Source organism: Homo sapiens, chromosome 2 (assembly GCF_000001405.40).
Source record: "Homo sapiens chromosome 2, GRCh38.p14 Primary Assembly".
NCBI classification, from domain to species: Eukaryota; Metazoa; Chordata; class Mammalia; order Primates; family Hominidae; genus Homo; species Homo sapiens.
In genome coordinates this window covers 123,024,373-123,043,298 of record NC_000002.12, presented here as the reverse complement: position 1 = coordinate 123,043,298, position 18,926 = coordinate 123,024,373, and positions in this window count along the sequence as shown.

Below are 18,926 nucleotides of genomic sequence, written 5' to 3'. Positions count from 1 at the left end.
TATTTTTAAAATTATAAGCTGGCATTTCCAGAAATGTAGGGGTAGGATTCATACTGTATATGCTATTTAAAATACCTTTTGGAACTAGTTCAGGTAAGTCTCAGCACCTGACAGACACAAACATAAATTTTGTCTGAAAATATTATCTTTGAATACAGGACTGATTCTTGAAAACCATTTAACAATGAAAAATAAAAATCATTATAAGTGAGTGTTAACAAATGTAATCAATTACAAATTCAGATCCATAAATATTATAGGCTGGAAATTTAAGTACATAACATAAAAATAATGTTATTAAATATGTAATAGATGATACTTATAATAAGTATCATCTTATAAGAAATAGAACAATTTATATTCTGACAAAAAAAAGAGCTTCTAGAAATGAAGAAAAAGAAAAATAACATTTTTGGAACTGGTAAAATACACTGATTTTTGAAACTTAAAAGTCTGATAAATCCCAAGTTCTGCAGAATATATCAAAGACAAAAATATATTGAGAACAACTAGAAAAAAATGAGGACTTATGTTTAGATTGATAAAAGACATCAACAGCAAATACAGAACTCAAGAGACAGTTGAATAACTTTTTCATTTATTATAGAGGTATACTTTAGAATTCTACAGGCAGTGAAAATATATTTCAATATTGAATGTAAGAAAACATATTTTCAAATAAAATCTGAGAGTTTGACACTAGTTTATTTGCAATAAGCATAGTTTAAGGGAGTTATTTCATGTCAAAGGAATACATTCTTATTGGATTATCTGCAATGAAAGAAGGAATGAAACTAAGAATTCCAAAAATGTGCTTATATAAAATAATCAAAAGAACATACATTAATTATGACGTAACTGTTTGAAACCCTTCATTAATTCTTTTGAGTGTATACCCAGATCTGGAATTGTTGAATCTTATAATAATTCTATTTTTTTGAGGAGCCAACATACTGTCTTTCACAGTGGCTGTATCATCTTTCATTCACAACAACAGTGCACAAGGATTCCAATTTCACCATGTCCATACCCATGCTTGTTATTGATTGATCAACTGATTATATCAATTCTAATGAATATGAAGATTTGATCTAACTATGGTTTTTTGATTTGCATTTCCATAATGATTAGTGATGTTGAGCATCTTTTCATGTGCTTATTGGCAATTTACATATCTTTGAAGAAACTTTTATTCAAGTTCTTTGTTCATTTTTAAATCAGGCTGGTTTCTGTTGTTGAGTTATAGGAGCTCTTTATATGTTCTGGCTATTGACTCTTTATCAGTTATATAATTTGAAAATATTTTTTCCATTCAATAAGCTGGAAGGCTTTTACTTCTTCTTTAATTTCTCTGACAGTCCTCCTAAACATGTCTTTTCATAGCATAAATTCATCTGTCACCATTCACTTGTTAAAAATATGTTGAACATCTACTCCTCTAATCTAGAGATGAATCACCGTTCATGACCTCAAGGCACTTACAGAAGCAAGTGGAGATAAAATTACAATAGGAGACCCACACTTCATCTGGAATTGAGAAGAGGTGGTCAAGAAGACTTTGGAGAAAAAAAAGTATTTTTTTAAGTCTTTCATTTGTAAAGACAAAACACTAGCAGTTAAAACAATAATATAACCAACAACATAATCAAGTGAGTCACAGGGTTCGATGATAGTTTCCTACTACAAGGCTTTCAAATAGTTATTTAAATTTCATTTCTGCATAATTTTTACTAGCATGTATAAAAAGAAATCAGAGTAGAACTCAGGATCTCTTTTTTCCTTTTGTAAGAAAAGGAAAATACTGTTAGTCTTAGACTGTTTCCACTGCTATGACAAAATACCTCAGACTGTATATAAAGAACAGGAATTTATTTCTCACTGTCCTGGAGGCTGGAATGTCCAAGATCAAGCCACTACCATTTCATATCTTGAGAGGGCCTTCTTGCTGTGTTTGCACATGGCAGAAGAGATGGATGCTATGAGAAAGGCAGAAGGGCAACAGGGCCTTTATAAGGGAATTAATCCTATTCACAAATGCTGAGCCCTCAGGACTTAATCGCCTCCCAAAATCTCCCTTTTTAATACCATCACTTTGAGTTTTAAGTTCCAGCATATGAATTTTTGAGCAACATATTCTTTTAAACCATAGTGCTTTCGTCCTTCCATCATGATCAGGACTAGTTCATATCCATTCAGACAAGAGAAAAAGTAAGCAAAAAACGGGATTGATCACCTACTACACTTTCTTGAAATACTGGCAGATTGGCTTTTTGGGTTTGAGATCTGACAACAATACCCTTCTGCCTTCAGCATTTGAACCTCATAGGAACACAAATGGGAATGAAGGAAGGAACTAAAGTTTTTTTTTCTTTGAAACTTTAAGCAAACATTAGTTTGCATTAAGAGATGAGCAGTAAAATTAAAATTGCATTCCAAATTATCTTATCAGAATAAATAAGAATGCATTTAAGCTTAATCAAAGATAGCTTAGAAAATATATAACACACTATTTCAGATTTTATATTATTTACAGCTCAACGTAAGTCATCTTGTGTAATAGAGAGTAGAGGAGCAGCAAACCTGTCATTCAAGATGACCTAATAGCTTTAGATATTCACAGAACTATGAGTTATAGAAAGAATTTCCTTGCTTTGTGTTTATGAAAACTAAGAAAATGCTTATGATGGTGATGATGTGGCTTAGGAAAATAATTGGAGAAATATGAATTGCCAATATGTTAAATTTTAAGCTAGAATTTTAAGAAAAATACATGCTATAAACCTTTGAAATCTCTATATCCTTCTTTTGATCTATTAATGCCTAAAAGATGCATAAATAAATTGTCCAATCTCAAAAGAATTACTATTTCAGGGAGATAAACTTTGGTAAATACAAAAAGACCTCTGAGTTGTTGCTAAGTAAAAAAGGCATTTTTCATTTGTGAGATATAGGAGTTGTGTTTTAATTGAAAGAAATTATTGCCAAGTGGAATGTTGATGTAGACTTGAAAGAAAAGGACTAATATTTCCAATTAGAGAAACAAATTATAGTTAAGAATTATGATGCTCAGTGGAAGTCTTTTATAGGCTTCACCTCATTCTTCCCAGAAAACATATCAGTAGAAGAGGGAAAAGAGATATTGAATACAAATGCACAGTTTCTGAACATCCCTACATTGATTATTTTGACTTATATTTTTCTTCATACTAACTAAGAATCACCTTTTCCTACACATTTATATTTGTGGTATTGAGTGAACATTTCTGTTCACACTGCAAAATTCTAATATATATGGTTTATGAAGCAGAAGTGAGAGTTATGAACTGTGTGAAGGTGCTATGACTGGCCAATGAATTGGTAAGAAGGACACAGATCCACACATCACAAAGTATGGTATTACCTAAAGACAAAAGTCCTTATAGGAGGCAGAGGAGCCATCCAAGAGTAGAGCATTTGCAGTACATTCCACTAGAACTCCCCCTGAACTCTACAGGCCCAAGTCGGATGCTGGTGATCCTGCCTATGCCAAGATCAGGAAACCACAAGTTTTTATATCTTCCCTGTCCCCGCCTTTATACTATCTATTGTATCACATTGTATCACCTTTCCAGGAAAATTCATGTTAATAATTAATATTTTTCTACTTTACATGGAATTCTCTTTGTTATCAAATTAAATTCAGCATCATTAGGGTCAGATTCTTTTGAGATTAGGGGGCTAGGAAATGGCAAAGTGCTTTTTTCCACATGGCCCTGAATGCTATCCAGTTTTTCAATACTCTAAAAAGCAATTCTGGGGGCCACATATGGAAAGAAATACACTTTGTCAAATGGTTACTCATTATTTAAATTTCACTTCAGGTTACTTTATATGGAGTCAGTCTTTCCTTGTTCTCTATTATCAAATCAGATTTCTCTTTTCAGTAGTCCTTGTAGGACTTATTTTTAATAATTAACCTTGGTCTAAGTTTTTTGTTGCAAAGTAGAACCCATTCAATATAGTTTAAGCAAAATTAAGGAAATCGGTTTGACATTTGTAGGGTTATCACAAGAAAATCAAAGGCAGAGACAGTAATAGAGTCTTCAAGAGACCAAAGAAAAGAAAAACCTCCAAAACCAGGGATTTTCTCTCTCATCCTCTCTTAGTCTTCCCCTCCCCACCTAGGTTAAATAATCTCTTGCCTCTGGTTTTCTCCATGAATCTGTTTTCCTCTCTTCTTCTCTTTTTCCTTTACGAAAAATCAGGTATCTCTACATTCTGGTCCAACATGGCTGCCCTAGCCCCAGGGTTACATAACCACAGTGTTTAATTGCCTAGTCTATGCTTTCTGCATTCCTCTATCAAACTTCCAAGAAAGCGAGTCTGATTGGCCGAGGCTGGTGGGATTTGTAGTCATCTGCAAACAGAGATGTGGGGTTTACAGTTCCTGTGGGACATGGAGCAAGGAGAGTGGTAATGGACTATTCCTCATCCGAAGATGGGGACTCACGATACACAGCAGTGCCTTTACCAACGTTTCTGAAACAATAGCATCACATTCCACTTAATTGCTTCCTTGTATGTTTTCCCTTCAAACTTGTGTGTTTTTTCAAGTTGGAAATTATGTATTTCATATTTGAAAACTAGTTTTCTTCTCATTCTAACGCTTTCTCTCATACCTATAACCATTAAGCTAGTTCCTTAATTAAAATAATTTGAGACTAACTTAAAAACTGTTCTATGTTTTATCCCTTACTTATATTCTCATATCATCAAGCCTTGTTATTTCTTCTTCTCTAGCGTATTTATTATTCATTTATTCTGTCTTATTTCTCTTGTCACTTCTTACTATCAACCCTGATCACCTCACATTTGCATAACTTCAACAATCTCTTTATTAACCCCTCTATCTTCAATATCTTGCCTCTCCAATACATGCTTTGCATTACCAGTACAGAAAAATAAATTTGAACATCGTATTCTACAGGTAATTTACAACAAAATGGCCATAGATTCATACAAAGCCAAGAGGTGTGGGAACTGAGGCTTTGAGAAGTTAAATAAATCACTGTGCATGGAGGACCTTGGTGGCTGAGATGGATTCAAGCACCTGTTCTCTAACTTCAGAGGAGGCTGCGGAAGGAGTTTGAGATTTTTGGCAAGAAATACAAACCTTTTATATCACCAACTCCATTTGCTTTTCCACTTTGAACAAACTACTTAGCAACTCAACAGTTACTGTTTCCTCTGTAAAGTTAATATTCTAATACTTACTTTCTAAGACTGGTTTGAAGATCAATATTATTATTAGCATATTGCCAGGCACCAGGAGGTATTTAATGACTATGTTTATTCTTTTTCTCAGTTTAATGTAATGGTCTTCTGGTCCTTATTGAATTCATAATTCATAACTTTAATTTTGTGATTTACTATAAACTTGCAAGCATTTTTACAAACCTGTGCATGGAGTGAGGAAGATATTTAGATTTATTTTACCAATAAGTAAATCAAGACTCATAGATGATAGGAGTTACCCATAACTTACCCGTGACTCATAATGAATGATACATGAGTATCATTATTATCTCTCCAAGTTGACTGAAAGTTTCCTGAGGACACAAGAATGTTTTAAATTTTATCTTTAAAAATATGTATCAATTATAAATTAAGATATATAATGCAGTCTTTAAAAGTATAAACGGTCATTTCTGCAAAAGCTCCTTTATCATCATAAACATGCTTAATTAACTTCAGCAGACTTTAGCTTTCTTATTAGTAAAAAGAGGATAACAACACTAACTTTCTGATTTAAGAATAATGTGCAATATTGAGAATACCCAGACTATAACAAATACTCAGCAAATAAGATCTCCAGTATAAATAAGCAAGAAATAGTTGCACATGGCAGTAAATAAGTCTCAGGAAATGTGATGATTTTATAAGGGGTTTCCACTCTGCTTCTTCCTCATTTTCTCTGGCTGCCACAACGTAAGAAGTGCCTTTCACCTTCAGCCATGATTGTGAGGCCTCTTCACCCATGCAGAACTGAGTCCGTTAAACCTATTTTTTTCCAGTTTTGCGTATGTAGTTATCATCAGTATGAAAATAGACTAATACAGTAAATTGTTACCAGTAGAGTGGGGTGCTGCTGAAAAGATACCTGAAAATGTGGAAGTGACATTGGAATTGACTAACAAGCAGACATTGGAACAGTTTGGAGAGCTCAAAAGAAGATAGAAAAATGTGGGAAAGTTTGGAACTTCCTAGAGACTTGTAGAATGGCTTTGACCCCTGAAAGCTGACAATGATATGGATAATTAAATCCAGGCTGAGGTGGTCTCAGATGGAGATGAGGAACTTGTTGGGAAGTGAAGTGAATGTGACTCTGGTTATATTTTAGCAAAGAGATTGGTGGCATTTTTCCCCTGCCCTAGAGATTTGTGGAACTTTGAACTTGAGGTAGGTGATTTAGGATAACTGGTGGAAGAAATTTCTAGGCAACAAAGCATTCAAGAGGTGACTTGGGTGCTGTTAAAAGCATTCAGTTAAAAAAAAAAACAGAGCATAAAGTTCAGAAAATGTGCAGTCTGATGATGCAACAGAAAAGAAAAACGCATTTTCTGAAGAGAAATTCAAGCCAACTATAGAAATTTGCATAAGTAATGAGGAGTCAAATGTTAATTACCAAGACAATGGAGAAAATGTGTCCAGGGCATGTCAGAGACCATAGCAGCAGGCCCTCCCATGCCAGCCCTGGAAGCCAAGGATGAAAAACTGGTTTCATGGGCCAGACCCAGGGCCCTCAAGTCTGTGCAGCCTAGGGACTTGTTGCCCTGTATCCCAGCCACTCCAGCCATGGCTAAAAGGGCCCAAGGTACAACTCAGGCTGTTGCTTCAAAGGTGCAAACCCCAAGCCTTGGCCACTTGCATGTGGTGTTGAGCCTGCTGAGGCACAGAAGTCAAGAATTAAGGTTTGGGAACCTCTGACCAGATTTCAGAAGATGTATGGAAATGCCTGGATGCCCTGGCAGAAGTTTGCTGCAGAAGCGGGACCCTCATGGAGAACATCTGCTAGGGCAGTGGAGAAGGGAAATGTGAAGTTGGAGCCCCCACACAGAGTCCCTACTGTGGCACTACCTAGTGGAGCTGTGAGAAGAGGGTCACCATCCTCCAGACCCCAGAATGGTAGATCCACTGACAGCTTGCACTATGTGCCTGGAAAAGCCACAGACAATGCCATCCTGTGAGAGCAGCCAGAAGGGGGGCTAAACCCTGCAAAGCCACAGGGGTGGAGCTGCCCAAGGTCATGGGAGCCGATCTATCATTTTGTAGCTTTAAAATGTGACCACCCTGCTGGATTTTGGTTTTGCTTGGGCCCTGAATCCCCTTTGTTTTGGCCAATTTCTCTCCATCGTAATGGCTAAATTTACCCAATACTTTTAACCCCATTGTATCTAGGAAGTAACTAACAGGCTCATAGGCAGAAGGGATGTGCCTTTTCTCTGATAAGACTTTGTACTGTGGATTTTTGAGTGAATGCTAAAATGAGATAAGACTTTGAGGGGACTGTTGGGAAGGCATGATTAGTTTTGAAATGTGAGGGCATGAGATTTGGCAGAGGCCAAAGGAGGAGTAATATGATTTGGCTTTGTTGCCCCACCCAAATCTCATCTTGAATTGTACTCCCATAATTTCCACATATTGTGGGAGGAACCCAGTGGGAGATTATTGAATCATGGGGGTGGTTTCCACCATACTGATCTCCTGGTAGTGAATAAATCTCATGAAGAAGGGGTTTCTGCTTTTGCTTCTTCCTCATTCTCTCTTGCCACCATCATGTAAGAAGTGCTTTCACCTTCAGCCATGATTATGAGGCCTCTCCAGCCATGTGGAACTGTGAGTCCATTAAACCTAATTTTCTTTCCAGTCTTAGGTATATTTTTATTATCAACATGAAAATGGACTAATACAGTTATGAATTATTTCCTCCTTTTGTATTTTTGGAAGATTTTGAGAGGGATTGGTATTAATTATTAGTTGTTTAAATGTTTGTTAGAATTCACTGGTGAAGCCATCTGCTTCTGGATCTTCCTTTGTTGTGAGATTTTTTTTATGCCTTGTTCAATCTCTGTACTGGTAGTTCTGTTAAGACTTTCAATTTCAAGTTGATTTTTTATAATGTGTGTTTCTAGAATTTTTAAAATTTCACTTGGGTTATCTGACTTGTTTTTTACAATTATTTAAAGTACTTTTTATAATCCTTTTTATTCCTGTAAGGTATCCTCATTTTCACGTATGGTTTTAATAATTTTTCTCAGTCAGTCTAGTGAAAGATTTATCAGTGTCATTGATCTTATAAAAAATGAATTTTTGTTTCATTGATTTATTGCTTTTCTATTCTCTATTTTATTTATCGGTACTCTGATCTTTATTATTTTATTTCTTCTGTTAGCTTTGATTATATTTAGCTGTTCTTTTCCTAGTTCATTAGAGTTAGGTTAGTATTTGGAGGTCTCTCTTTTTTTTCTTTTTAGTGTAGACATTTACAGCTTAAATTTCTGTAAAAGCACTGCTTTCATTGCATATCATAAATTTTGACAAGTTGTGTTTTCATGTATGTTTATAAGAAGTATTTTCCAATTTCTTTAGCAATTTCTTCTTTGACTTATTTGTTGTGGAAGAGTGAATTGTTTAATTCACACATATTTATAATTTTTAAATTTTTTTCATTTTGTTATTGATTTCTATCTTCATTCAATTATGCTTGGATTATATATTTTTATAATTTAAATATTTTAAAATATATTGATACTTATTTTATGGCCTAATATTGTATATTATGGAGAATGCTGTGTGTTCTTGAAAAGAATATATGTTCCACTGTTGTTGAGCAGTGTGCTCTCTACTTGTCTGTTTATCTAGTTTTGTTCATCTGTTGTTTCTGTCTTCTATTTCTATAATCATCTTCTGTCATATTCATTATTGCAAGTGTGTTATTGAAGTCTCAATCTGTTATTGTAGACCTGCCTTTCTCTGCTTTCATTCCTTCAATGTTTAACACACATATTTTGTGGCTCTGCTGTTTTGCACCTTTCTTTTATAACTGTTATATTGACCCTTTTGTCAATTAATAAAATCCTTCTTTGTCTCATAACAATTTTGAGTTCATTTCTTTTCCGATATTAGTACAGCCACATCAGCCTTTGTTTTGCTTACTATTTGCACAAAATATATTTGTCAATAACTTGTTTTTGAATCTATGTGTGTCATTTAAGTCAGTCTCTTTTAGAAAGCATACACTTGGGCTAGATTATTTAATTGTAAGTTTAACCAATTTACACTTAATGTAATTACTGAACAATAACATAGTTCTGGGTTTTTTTTAACTTTTATGTTAGGTTCAGTGGTATACGTACAGGTTTGTTATATAAGTAAATGAGTCATGGGGGGTTATATACAGATTATTTTGTCATCCAGGTGTTAAGTTTCATACCCAATAGTTATTTTTTCTACCCCTCTCCCTTCTCCTACCTTCCACCTCTTCCTCTTTATGTCCATGTGTTCTCATTACTTAGCTCCCACTTATAAGTGAAAACATGTGGTATTTGGTTTTCTGTTTCTGCATTAGTTTGCTAAGGTTAATGACCTCCAGCTCCATCCCTGCCCCTGCAAAAGACGTGTTCTCGTTCTTCTTTTATGGCTGCATAATATTCTATAGTATACATGTACTATGATGTTTTATCCAGTCTTCCACTAATGGGCATTTAGATTGATTCCTTGTCTTTGCTATTGTGTGTAGTGCTGCAATAAACATACATATGCATGTGTCTTTATCATAGAATGATTTATATTCCTTTGGGTATATACTCAGTAATGAGATTGCTGGGTCAAATGCTCGTTCTGTTTTTACGTCTTTGAGGAATCACCACACTGCTTTCCACAGTGGTTGAACAAATTTACACTCCCATCAACAGCATATCAACATTTTTGTTTCTCCACAACCTCACCAGCATTTGTTATTTTTTGCCTTTTTAGTAATAGCCATTCCGACTGGTGTGAGATGGTATCACATTGTATCTTTGATTTGCATTTATCTAATGATCAGTGATACTGAGCTTTTTTTTCATATGCTTGTTGGTTGCATGTATGTTTACTTTTGAAAAGTGTCTGTTCATGTTCTTTGCCCACTTTTTAATGAGGTTTTTTTTTTCTTATAAACTTAGTTAGCTTCCTTATAGGTGGTGGAATTAGACCTCTGTCAGATGCATAGTTTACAATTTTTTTTTCTTGTTCTGTAAGTTTGTCTGTTTACTCTCTTGGGAGTTTCTTTTGCTGTTCAGAGCTCTTCAATTAGGTCTCATTTTCAACTTTTGTTTTCATTGTAATCACTTTTCATATCTTTGTCTTAAAATCTTTGCCAGTTCCTTTGCCCAGGATGGTATTGCTTAGGTAGTCTATTATGGTTTTTATAGTTTTGGGTTTCACATTTAAGTCATATAGCTCCTTATATCCCTTTCCACCAAGTACCTAGAATTCACCATTTCACTTTCTGTCTTTGTGAATTTGACTACTCTATGTGCCCCATACAGTATAGTCATATAATATATGTTCTTTTGTGACTGGCTTAATTCACCTAGCATGATTTCTTCAAGGATAATCCATGTGGAAGCATGTGTCACAATTTTCTGTCTTTTCAAAACTGAATAATATTCCCTTAATAATAATAATGTACATCCATTTTGTTTATACATTCATCTATTCATATATTTTTGGGGTTTTTTTTTCCCATGTTTTGGCTATGGTGAATAATGCTGCTAAGAACACAAGTGTACAGATATCTATTCTAGTTATTGCTTTCAATTTTGGGGGGTATATGCTCAAAAGTGTAATTGATGGATTATACACTAATTTTATGGTTACTCTTTGGAGAATGTTTCCTACTTTTTGTCAGTAGCAGCTGCAACATTTACATTCCTAACAGCAATGCAAATTCCACCATTTCTCTACATTCTCATGATTAGTAATTTTCAGGGTTTTTTTTGTTGTTGTTGTTGTTTAGCCACAGCCTCCATAATGGATATACAATGGTATCTCTTTGTGGTTTTGATTTGCATTTCCCTAATGGTTAGTGATGCTTTGCCCTTCATGAGCCTATTGGCCAATTGGACATTGCCTTTTGAGAAATGTCTTTCCAAGTCCTTTGCCCATTTTTAATTTTTTTTTTTTTTTTTGAGTCAGAGTCTCGCTCTGTCGCCCAGGCTGGAGTGCAGTGGCACAATCTGGGCTCACTGCAAGCTCCGCCTCCTGGGTTCAGGCCATTCTCCTGCCTTTCTCCTGCCTCAACCTCCTGAGTAGCTGGGACTACAGGCGCCCACCACCACGCCTGGCTAATTTTTTTTTTTTTTTTTTTTTTTTTTTGTATTTTTAGTAGGACAGGGTTTCACCCTGTTAGCCAGGATGATCTCGATTTCCTGACCTCGTGATCCGCCGCCTTGGCCTCCCAAAGTGCTGGGATTACAGGTGTGACCACGGCGCCCAGCCCTCCTTTTCCCATTTTTTAATTAGTATTTTTGGTTTTTAGTTATTGAGTTGTAAAAGTTATTTACATATTCTTTATATTAATCACTTATTAGATATATAATTTGCAAATATTTTTCCACTTCATGAGTTGCCATTTTACTTTGTTGGTAGTGCCCTTTGATGTAGAAAAGTTTTAAATTTGATTTTCAATTTATGATGTTTTTGCCTGTGCTTTTGTTGTCATATTCAACTAATCATTGCAAAATCCAGTTTCTCAAAGGTTTTTCTTCTTTGTTTTCTTCTGAGTTCCATAGCTCTAGCTGTTATGTTTAGCTCTTTTATCCAGCTTTAGTCAATTTTATATATGTATAAAGGGTTCAACTTCATTCTCTTGTATGTGAATAACAACCTTTCCCAATGCCACTTTCTCAAAAGACTGTGATCTTTCCATTAAATAGTCTTGGCACTCACGTCTGAAATTATTTCACCATATATAAAATATTTTATTTCTGAGCTTTCTGTTTTATTGCATTGTATCTATATCTGTCTTTATGTTGAATTATTCTTGTATTTCCAAGAATAGATCCCACTTGGTTATATACTCCAATCTAATTGGTATATTGTTGAATTCAATTTGTTAGGGGCACTGACTCTCCATAAAGTCCAAAATCTATGGATAATTTTAACTCCCTAAAATTTAACTAATAATAGTCTACTATTGACCAAACATAGTCAATTAACACATATTTCATATGTATATGAATAAAGTGAGCTACAAAAAAGAAAATAATATTAAGAAAATCATAAAGGGTATATTTACTATTAAGTGTAAATGGATCATCATAAAGATCCTGATTCTCATTGGCTTCACACTGAGTTGGCTGAAGAGAAGGAGGAAGAGGAGGGTTTGGTCGTGCTGTTTCTGGGATGGCAGAGGTGGAAGAAAATCTATGTATAATTCGGCCTATGCACTCCAAATCTATGCTGTTAAAGGGTCAACTCAGTGTGTATGTGTCTGTGTGCGTGTGTATGTGTATATTTTTAATGATCATAATTATCTCAATCTCAATTGATACAGAAAAAGCAAAATTCAACTCACTTTTTTTTTTTTGATGGAGTCTCACTCTGTTGCCGAGGCTGGAGGGCAGTGGTGTGATCTCGGCTCACTGCAACTTCCACCTCCCAGGTTCAAGCAATTATACTGCCTCAGTCTCCTGAGTAGCTGTGACTACAGGAGCACACCACCATGCCTGGCTAATTTTTAATTTAATTTTATTATTATTATACTTTAAGTTTTAGGGTACATGTGCACAACGTGCAGGTTTGTTACATATGTATACATGTGCCATGTTGGTGTGCTGCACCCATTAACTCATCATTTAGCATTAGGTGTATCTCCTAATGCTATGCCTCCCCACTCCCCCCCACCCCACAACAGGCCCCAGTGTGTGATGTTCCCCTTCCTGTGTCCATGTGTTCTCATTGTTCAGTTCCCACCTATGAGTGAGAATATGCGGTGTTTGGTTTTCTGTCCTTGCGATAGTTTGCTGAGAATGATGGTTTCCAGCTTCATCCATGTCCCTACAAAGGACATGAACTCATCCTTTTTTATGGCTGCATAGTATTCCATGGTGTATATGTGCCACATTTTCTTAATCCAGTCTATCATTGTTGGACATTTGTGTTATAGAGACAGGGTTTCGACATGTCAGCCAGGCTGGTCTTGAACTCCTGACCTCAGGTGATCCACCTGCCTTGGCCTCACAAAGTGCTAGGATTATAGGCATGAGCCAGCACGTCCAGCCTCAACTCACTTTTATGATTAAAAAACACTCAACAAAGTAGGAATAGGAGGAACTTTCTTCAATATGATAAAGGTCCTATATAAAAACCCCACAGATAACAGTTTCTTACTCAATTTTGAAGAACTGAAAGTTTTTCACCAAATATGCATATATATGGCATGGACATGCATTATAAACCTCAAAATATAGTACAAATATTTTTGCTTTAAACACTAATACAGTCATAGGCTTAAAAAAATTAAAAAATAAAAAGGAAATATATATGTTTATGTATGAAGAGAGACACTTAAATATTTCAAATATATTTAATATTTATTTTATTCTTTATTATTTCTAGTAAATTTGAGTTTATCACCTAGTAACTTTTTTCTGTAAAATTATTTATTTTGAGTAATTTTTTTAACATTTCTAGTAATTCTTGACTGCTAGTAATAAATTCTGTTTTTCTTTTTGAAATATTATTATTTCACCCTCTAATTCAGTTTTACTGTGTATGAAAATCTAGGTTGACTGTTTTACTTTTACTTTCATCACTTTCGAGATGCTGTTTCAACATTTGATGGCCTGCATAATTTCCAGTGGGTTTTAGCCATCACTTGTATCATTGTTTCCTGTATGTAATTGCTGTATTTCCTTAGGCCACTTTCAAGATGTCCTCTTAATGCCTGGACTTCATGGATATAACTAGATGTGAGTTGGTTTTGTTTTTAATTTTATCATATTTTGCTCTTTGAAGTACATATTTTTTTTCTTGGCTCTTTAAGTTGATATATTTCATCAATATTGGGAAGTTGTAGAATATATTTTTAATCACTTTTTTTCTGCTTTATTCTATCGCTCTTCTAAGACTCAACATACACAATCTAATAATTTGATCTTGTCCTGAAGCACACTGGGGCTTTTCTTTCATCTATATTTTTTCCTGTGTTTTGTTTTTCATGTTAGATAATTTCTTTTGATTTATCTTAATAATCGTGGCTCTCTTTTTGCCGTTTAAATCTTCTGTTAAAATTATTTGTTAACTTTTTAAAAATTTAGCATGTCAGTTATGAAACTTCCAGTTCGTTTTTTTAATATACATTTCCAAGTCTCTATTGATATTCTCTACCTATACATTAATTACACATATATCTTTAATTTTAAAAAAATATTACCCTGTTTCCCAGGCTAGAGTGCAATGTCATAATCATAGCTCACTGTAACCTCAAACTCCTAGGCTCAGATGAGCCTCATTGCTCCAACTTCCTGAGTAACTAGGACTAGAAGTGTGTGTCACTGTGCCTGGCTAATTTTTATGATTTTTTTTGGCGGTGGGGTGTAGAGATGGGGTCTCATTATGTTGCTCAGACTGATTTTGAGTTACTGGGCTCAAGCAATCCTCCTGCCTCAGTTTTCCAAAGTGCTAAGATTATAGGTGTGAGTCACTACACGTTGGCTAATTAAACATATATCTTTCTTAAGTTCTAGAATATGTTTCTAGTAGCTGCTTTCTAGTTGTGATCTGCTAACTACTAATTTGGATCTTCATGAGACTGATGCCTATTGTCTTTATAAAAATTACTCTTTTGTCATATTTCCCATCTCTTTGCGTGCTTTATACTTTTTGATGTCATATTAGATATGTTTTAGATACTATAGGTTCTGGTGTGTTTCTCTGATAAAGAATTCTCTAGTTGTTAATGTTCTACAGGGTAATTAATTTAACTTGATTTAAGTTCCAAACTCTGTCTTACCTGCAATAACCAACAGCTGAAATCTCTCTTCAGTTTTTTTATTCTTTAGTTTCTTTATGCTGGGCTCTGTGTCGTCACTCCTAGGCATGCATAATTTAACAATCAGCAAATGATTTGATAAGTGGATTTTATCATCGGATTTTGGAGGCCCAATCTCTGTATGGTTGATTCCTTTCTAGGATCTCCAATCCTGTTGATTTTCTGGCCATTCTGAAAGCCATAAATTGTCCTCTGATACTTCAAACCAGTAAAACAGTAGTTTTGTTTTTGTTTTTGTTTTTTTTTTTTTTTGAGACGGAGTCTCCCTCTATCGCCCAGGCTGGAGTGCAGTGGCGCGATCTCGGCTCACTGCAAGCTCCGCCCCCCGGGTTCACGCCATTCTCCTGCCTCAGCCTCCTGAGTAGCTGGGACTACAGGCGCCCGCCACTACGCCCGGCTATTTTTTTTTTTTTTTTTGTATTTTTAGTAGAGATGGGGTTTCACCAAGTTAGCCAGGATGATCTCGATTTCCTGACCTAGTGATCCGCCCGCCTCGGCCTCCCAAAGTGCTGGGATTACAGACGTGAGCCACCGCGCCCGGCCACAGTAGTTTTCTATAGCCTGTGTACTAAGGCAAAAAACACAAAGTTGTAAATCGCACCTGCCTGATTTCTCCTTTCAAAAGTCTACTACTGTCTTAGTTAATCTCCAGTTCTATCAAATAGGGCTTTAAAAATGTTTACTTAGATTTTATAATTATTATATTTGGGAAGGCTAACCTAACATTCTCAAAATCTACCAATTTATGGAGTATTAGTTGTAATTATGCTCTTAGTTAATTTCTGGTAATCATGTTGATTATTTTTCCAATCAACTTCTTCTTTGTAGTTTCTTGTTTCATATACTTTGAAGCACACATTTTTTTTTTCCGTGTGCACATTTAACAGAGCCGTATTTGAAATACTTATGGTTCAACATTCCTTTTCTTTTGTTTCTGTTGGTTTTCTTGCATGGCGTTTTTTATTTCCTTGTGGACATAGTTACTTTTTATTGTATGTTACCTATTTCTGTTTTACATTTTGTGACCTAGAATGAAATTATTTTGATCTAGAAAGTTTTGATATTTTTTTCTTGTCAGTGCGTAGGGTCACACTAATTAAGATTACTCAAATTAAAATTTCAGCTTGGAAGATCTTTAGCCATCCAAGCTGTAAACAATTCGTTTCAAATTCTTGGTCACATTTTACCCCCCCAATTCTTTCTCAAAATATTATATTTTCATGTTGTTTACTTTCATTTGGGAATGTGTTTAGTTCATAATTTTAATGAAGTGTAACTCTTTATTCTCATCATTTTATTTAAGACGGTTTCTCCTTGGATATTCTACTGTGTATAGGACATAGATTTACTCATCGGCTCTGTTTCCCCGTGAATCTGTTAAGACCAAGTCTCAACTACGTGGCTTGAAGTGAAAGCCAACAGTGAATTCAGCTTGTCATTCTAGAGTTCTGTCTTTACTTGGTCGTTGTTCTGAAAGGTTCCTAGAGGCTGATAATCTCTAATCCAAAAATCCAAAACTTTTTGAGCACTGGTATGATACCATGTGTTAAATTCCACACCTAACCTAACATAATAGGTTGTAGTCAAAACTTTGTTTCATGCATAGAGTTATTTAAAATACTGTATAAAATTACCTTCAGGTTGTGTGTATAAGGTGTATATAAAAAAATATGAATTTTGTGCGTAGACTTGGGTCTCATCCCCAAGACATCTTATTATGGATATGAAAATATTCCCAAATCCAACAAAATCTGAAATCTAAAATACATCTGGTTTCAAGTATTTTGGATAGGGGATACTAAACCTGTATTTACTTACCAAATCACCTGCACTTTTAAGATTTTTCTAAAAATAGATTTACTCAAACATTTTAAGGTATTTTTTAGGAGGAAGGCCTTAACTTACTGGGAAAAAATATTAAAAACTAAAAACACATTTTCCTTAATTTTTACAAGAATCTCATATGATTGTACAACAGTATTAGTCATTAAAATGTTCACTTTCAGTGAAAGGAAATTTGAACTCACAGAGTTGAAGTAACACTATATGTAACCAGCTTAGTAAGCTAAGATACTATAGTTGGAATTCAGGATCTTCTGATACAAAAATCCATGCTTCTTTCCAACACCAACCTAGGTTTGAATATTGACTCACAAAGTCAGCTGCTGTATGATTTGGAAACTTTCTCACCTATAAAAATGCAACAATAAAATCTTTAAGCATCATTTCTTAATGCTTAAATGAGATGATATATGCTTGAATATATGTGATAATATATGTGATTCATTTACCAGATAATTAACACTAAATAATTACTACAAATAATAGCTATGAAAATGTGTCATACATGTATGACAGTTATATGTGCACATATTTGAAACTAAACTCATAATACATTTATTGCTTGCAAAAAAATGCTTGTTGAATGAACGCATGAAGATATAAATGATGAGTAAATTAACCAACAAAATTACTGACTGTCGTAGCAATCTTAGCTAAATAAAGCAGCAATCACTCTGTCTTCACTATTCCCACATTTTTCAGGCATTTTGAAAAGTCCATTTTGACCCAGAACACAGTTCAGAATGTTTGTGTTCCTAACAACAGTTAAAACCATTTTCCAAGCATTTGTGTTATGCCCCAAAAGCGTCGTGGCTGAGTGGTCTGAGCAATCACACGTAGATGATGGAAGTCTGACCTTGACATTGGCTCCCAGAGCTGCTGCAAGAAAGTCACTTAACCTTGGGTTTCAGGTTCTTCATCTGTAAAATTGGGATTAAAAACACTTGCAGGCCCCTGAGGAAAATGTGGAAGATTTCTGAAAGGAAATGTGTTCGAAAGTGCTTTGAATGTGAATATGATTCCTAAAATAGCAAAAGATGAATATTTTCCTTTCTATTCCCGCTGGAATGCTTTTTCTCAGTCATGGAATTAAGTGTTGTAGAATCTAAGGTGTTCAAAAGCCTGAAAACTGGTGTCAGGAAAATCTCAGTGTTAATCAACTGTAGAACTACTGGGTTCTTCCTGGCACAGTCAGTAAAGCAGAAAGTGAAGATAATATTTTGAACAAAGGTGACCCTATCTCCTTTGTACTGTGGTTTCTGCAATCAACTCACTAGGACTATTCTAAATAATAATTTTACCAGAATGCTCAAATTTTCCTGTAGGAACAAGTTTGGCTTGGGAAAATATTAGAACATTTTGGAAGCTTGAAAAACTATCAAAACAATAAATCTGATGAAACTGAAGTATATCTATGGAGTCTTCGGTGAGGAAAAAATAAAATAAAAAATGAAGCTTCTATGGCTTAATCTGCTTAGGGTCATTTTTTATTCCTCTCATATGCCCTGGGGACAGAGCTTCCCTCTTTTATGTTTATATGCTTGCATCAAACTACTCTGTCCAGTCTGACCCACAATCAAATGAAAACCCAGAGAACTTCAGAGTTAGACAGAGGCAGATTTAGAATGCATTAGACAGAGGCAGGTAAAACACAAAATAACTAGACCAAGACTTGGAAATGATGACTGGGTGAAACCTGTGAGAATATAGGAGGCTTTGCAGCTTGGGGAAGTTTCTTGAATTGAAGAAGTAGTTACATAAATCAGGTCAAGTAAGGAGAGAAGTGACACAGCCTGGGTATACTCCAGAACTTGGAGATTTGGTGTCACTCTATATGTAAAAATTGAACACTGTGTCAGTTGTCCTGGGCCATCTTCATGCCTATGAGTCAGTAAATACTCAAAACTCTGCTGTTTTCAGTATATCTTCCCTAGAAACCATGGTAAACAATCAGGTGAGCCATAACAGGAGGAAACATAGGAAAGAGGCTTTGGACCTTAGTAGATAT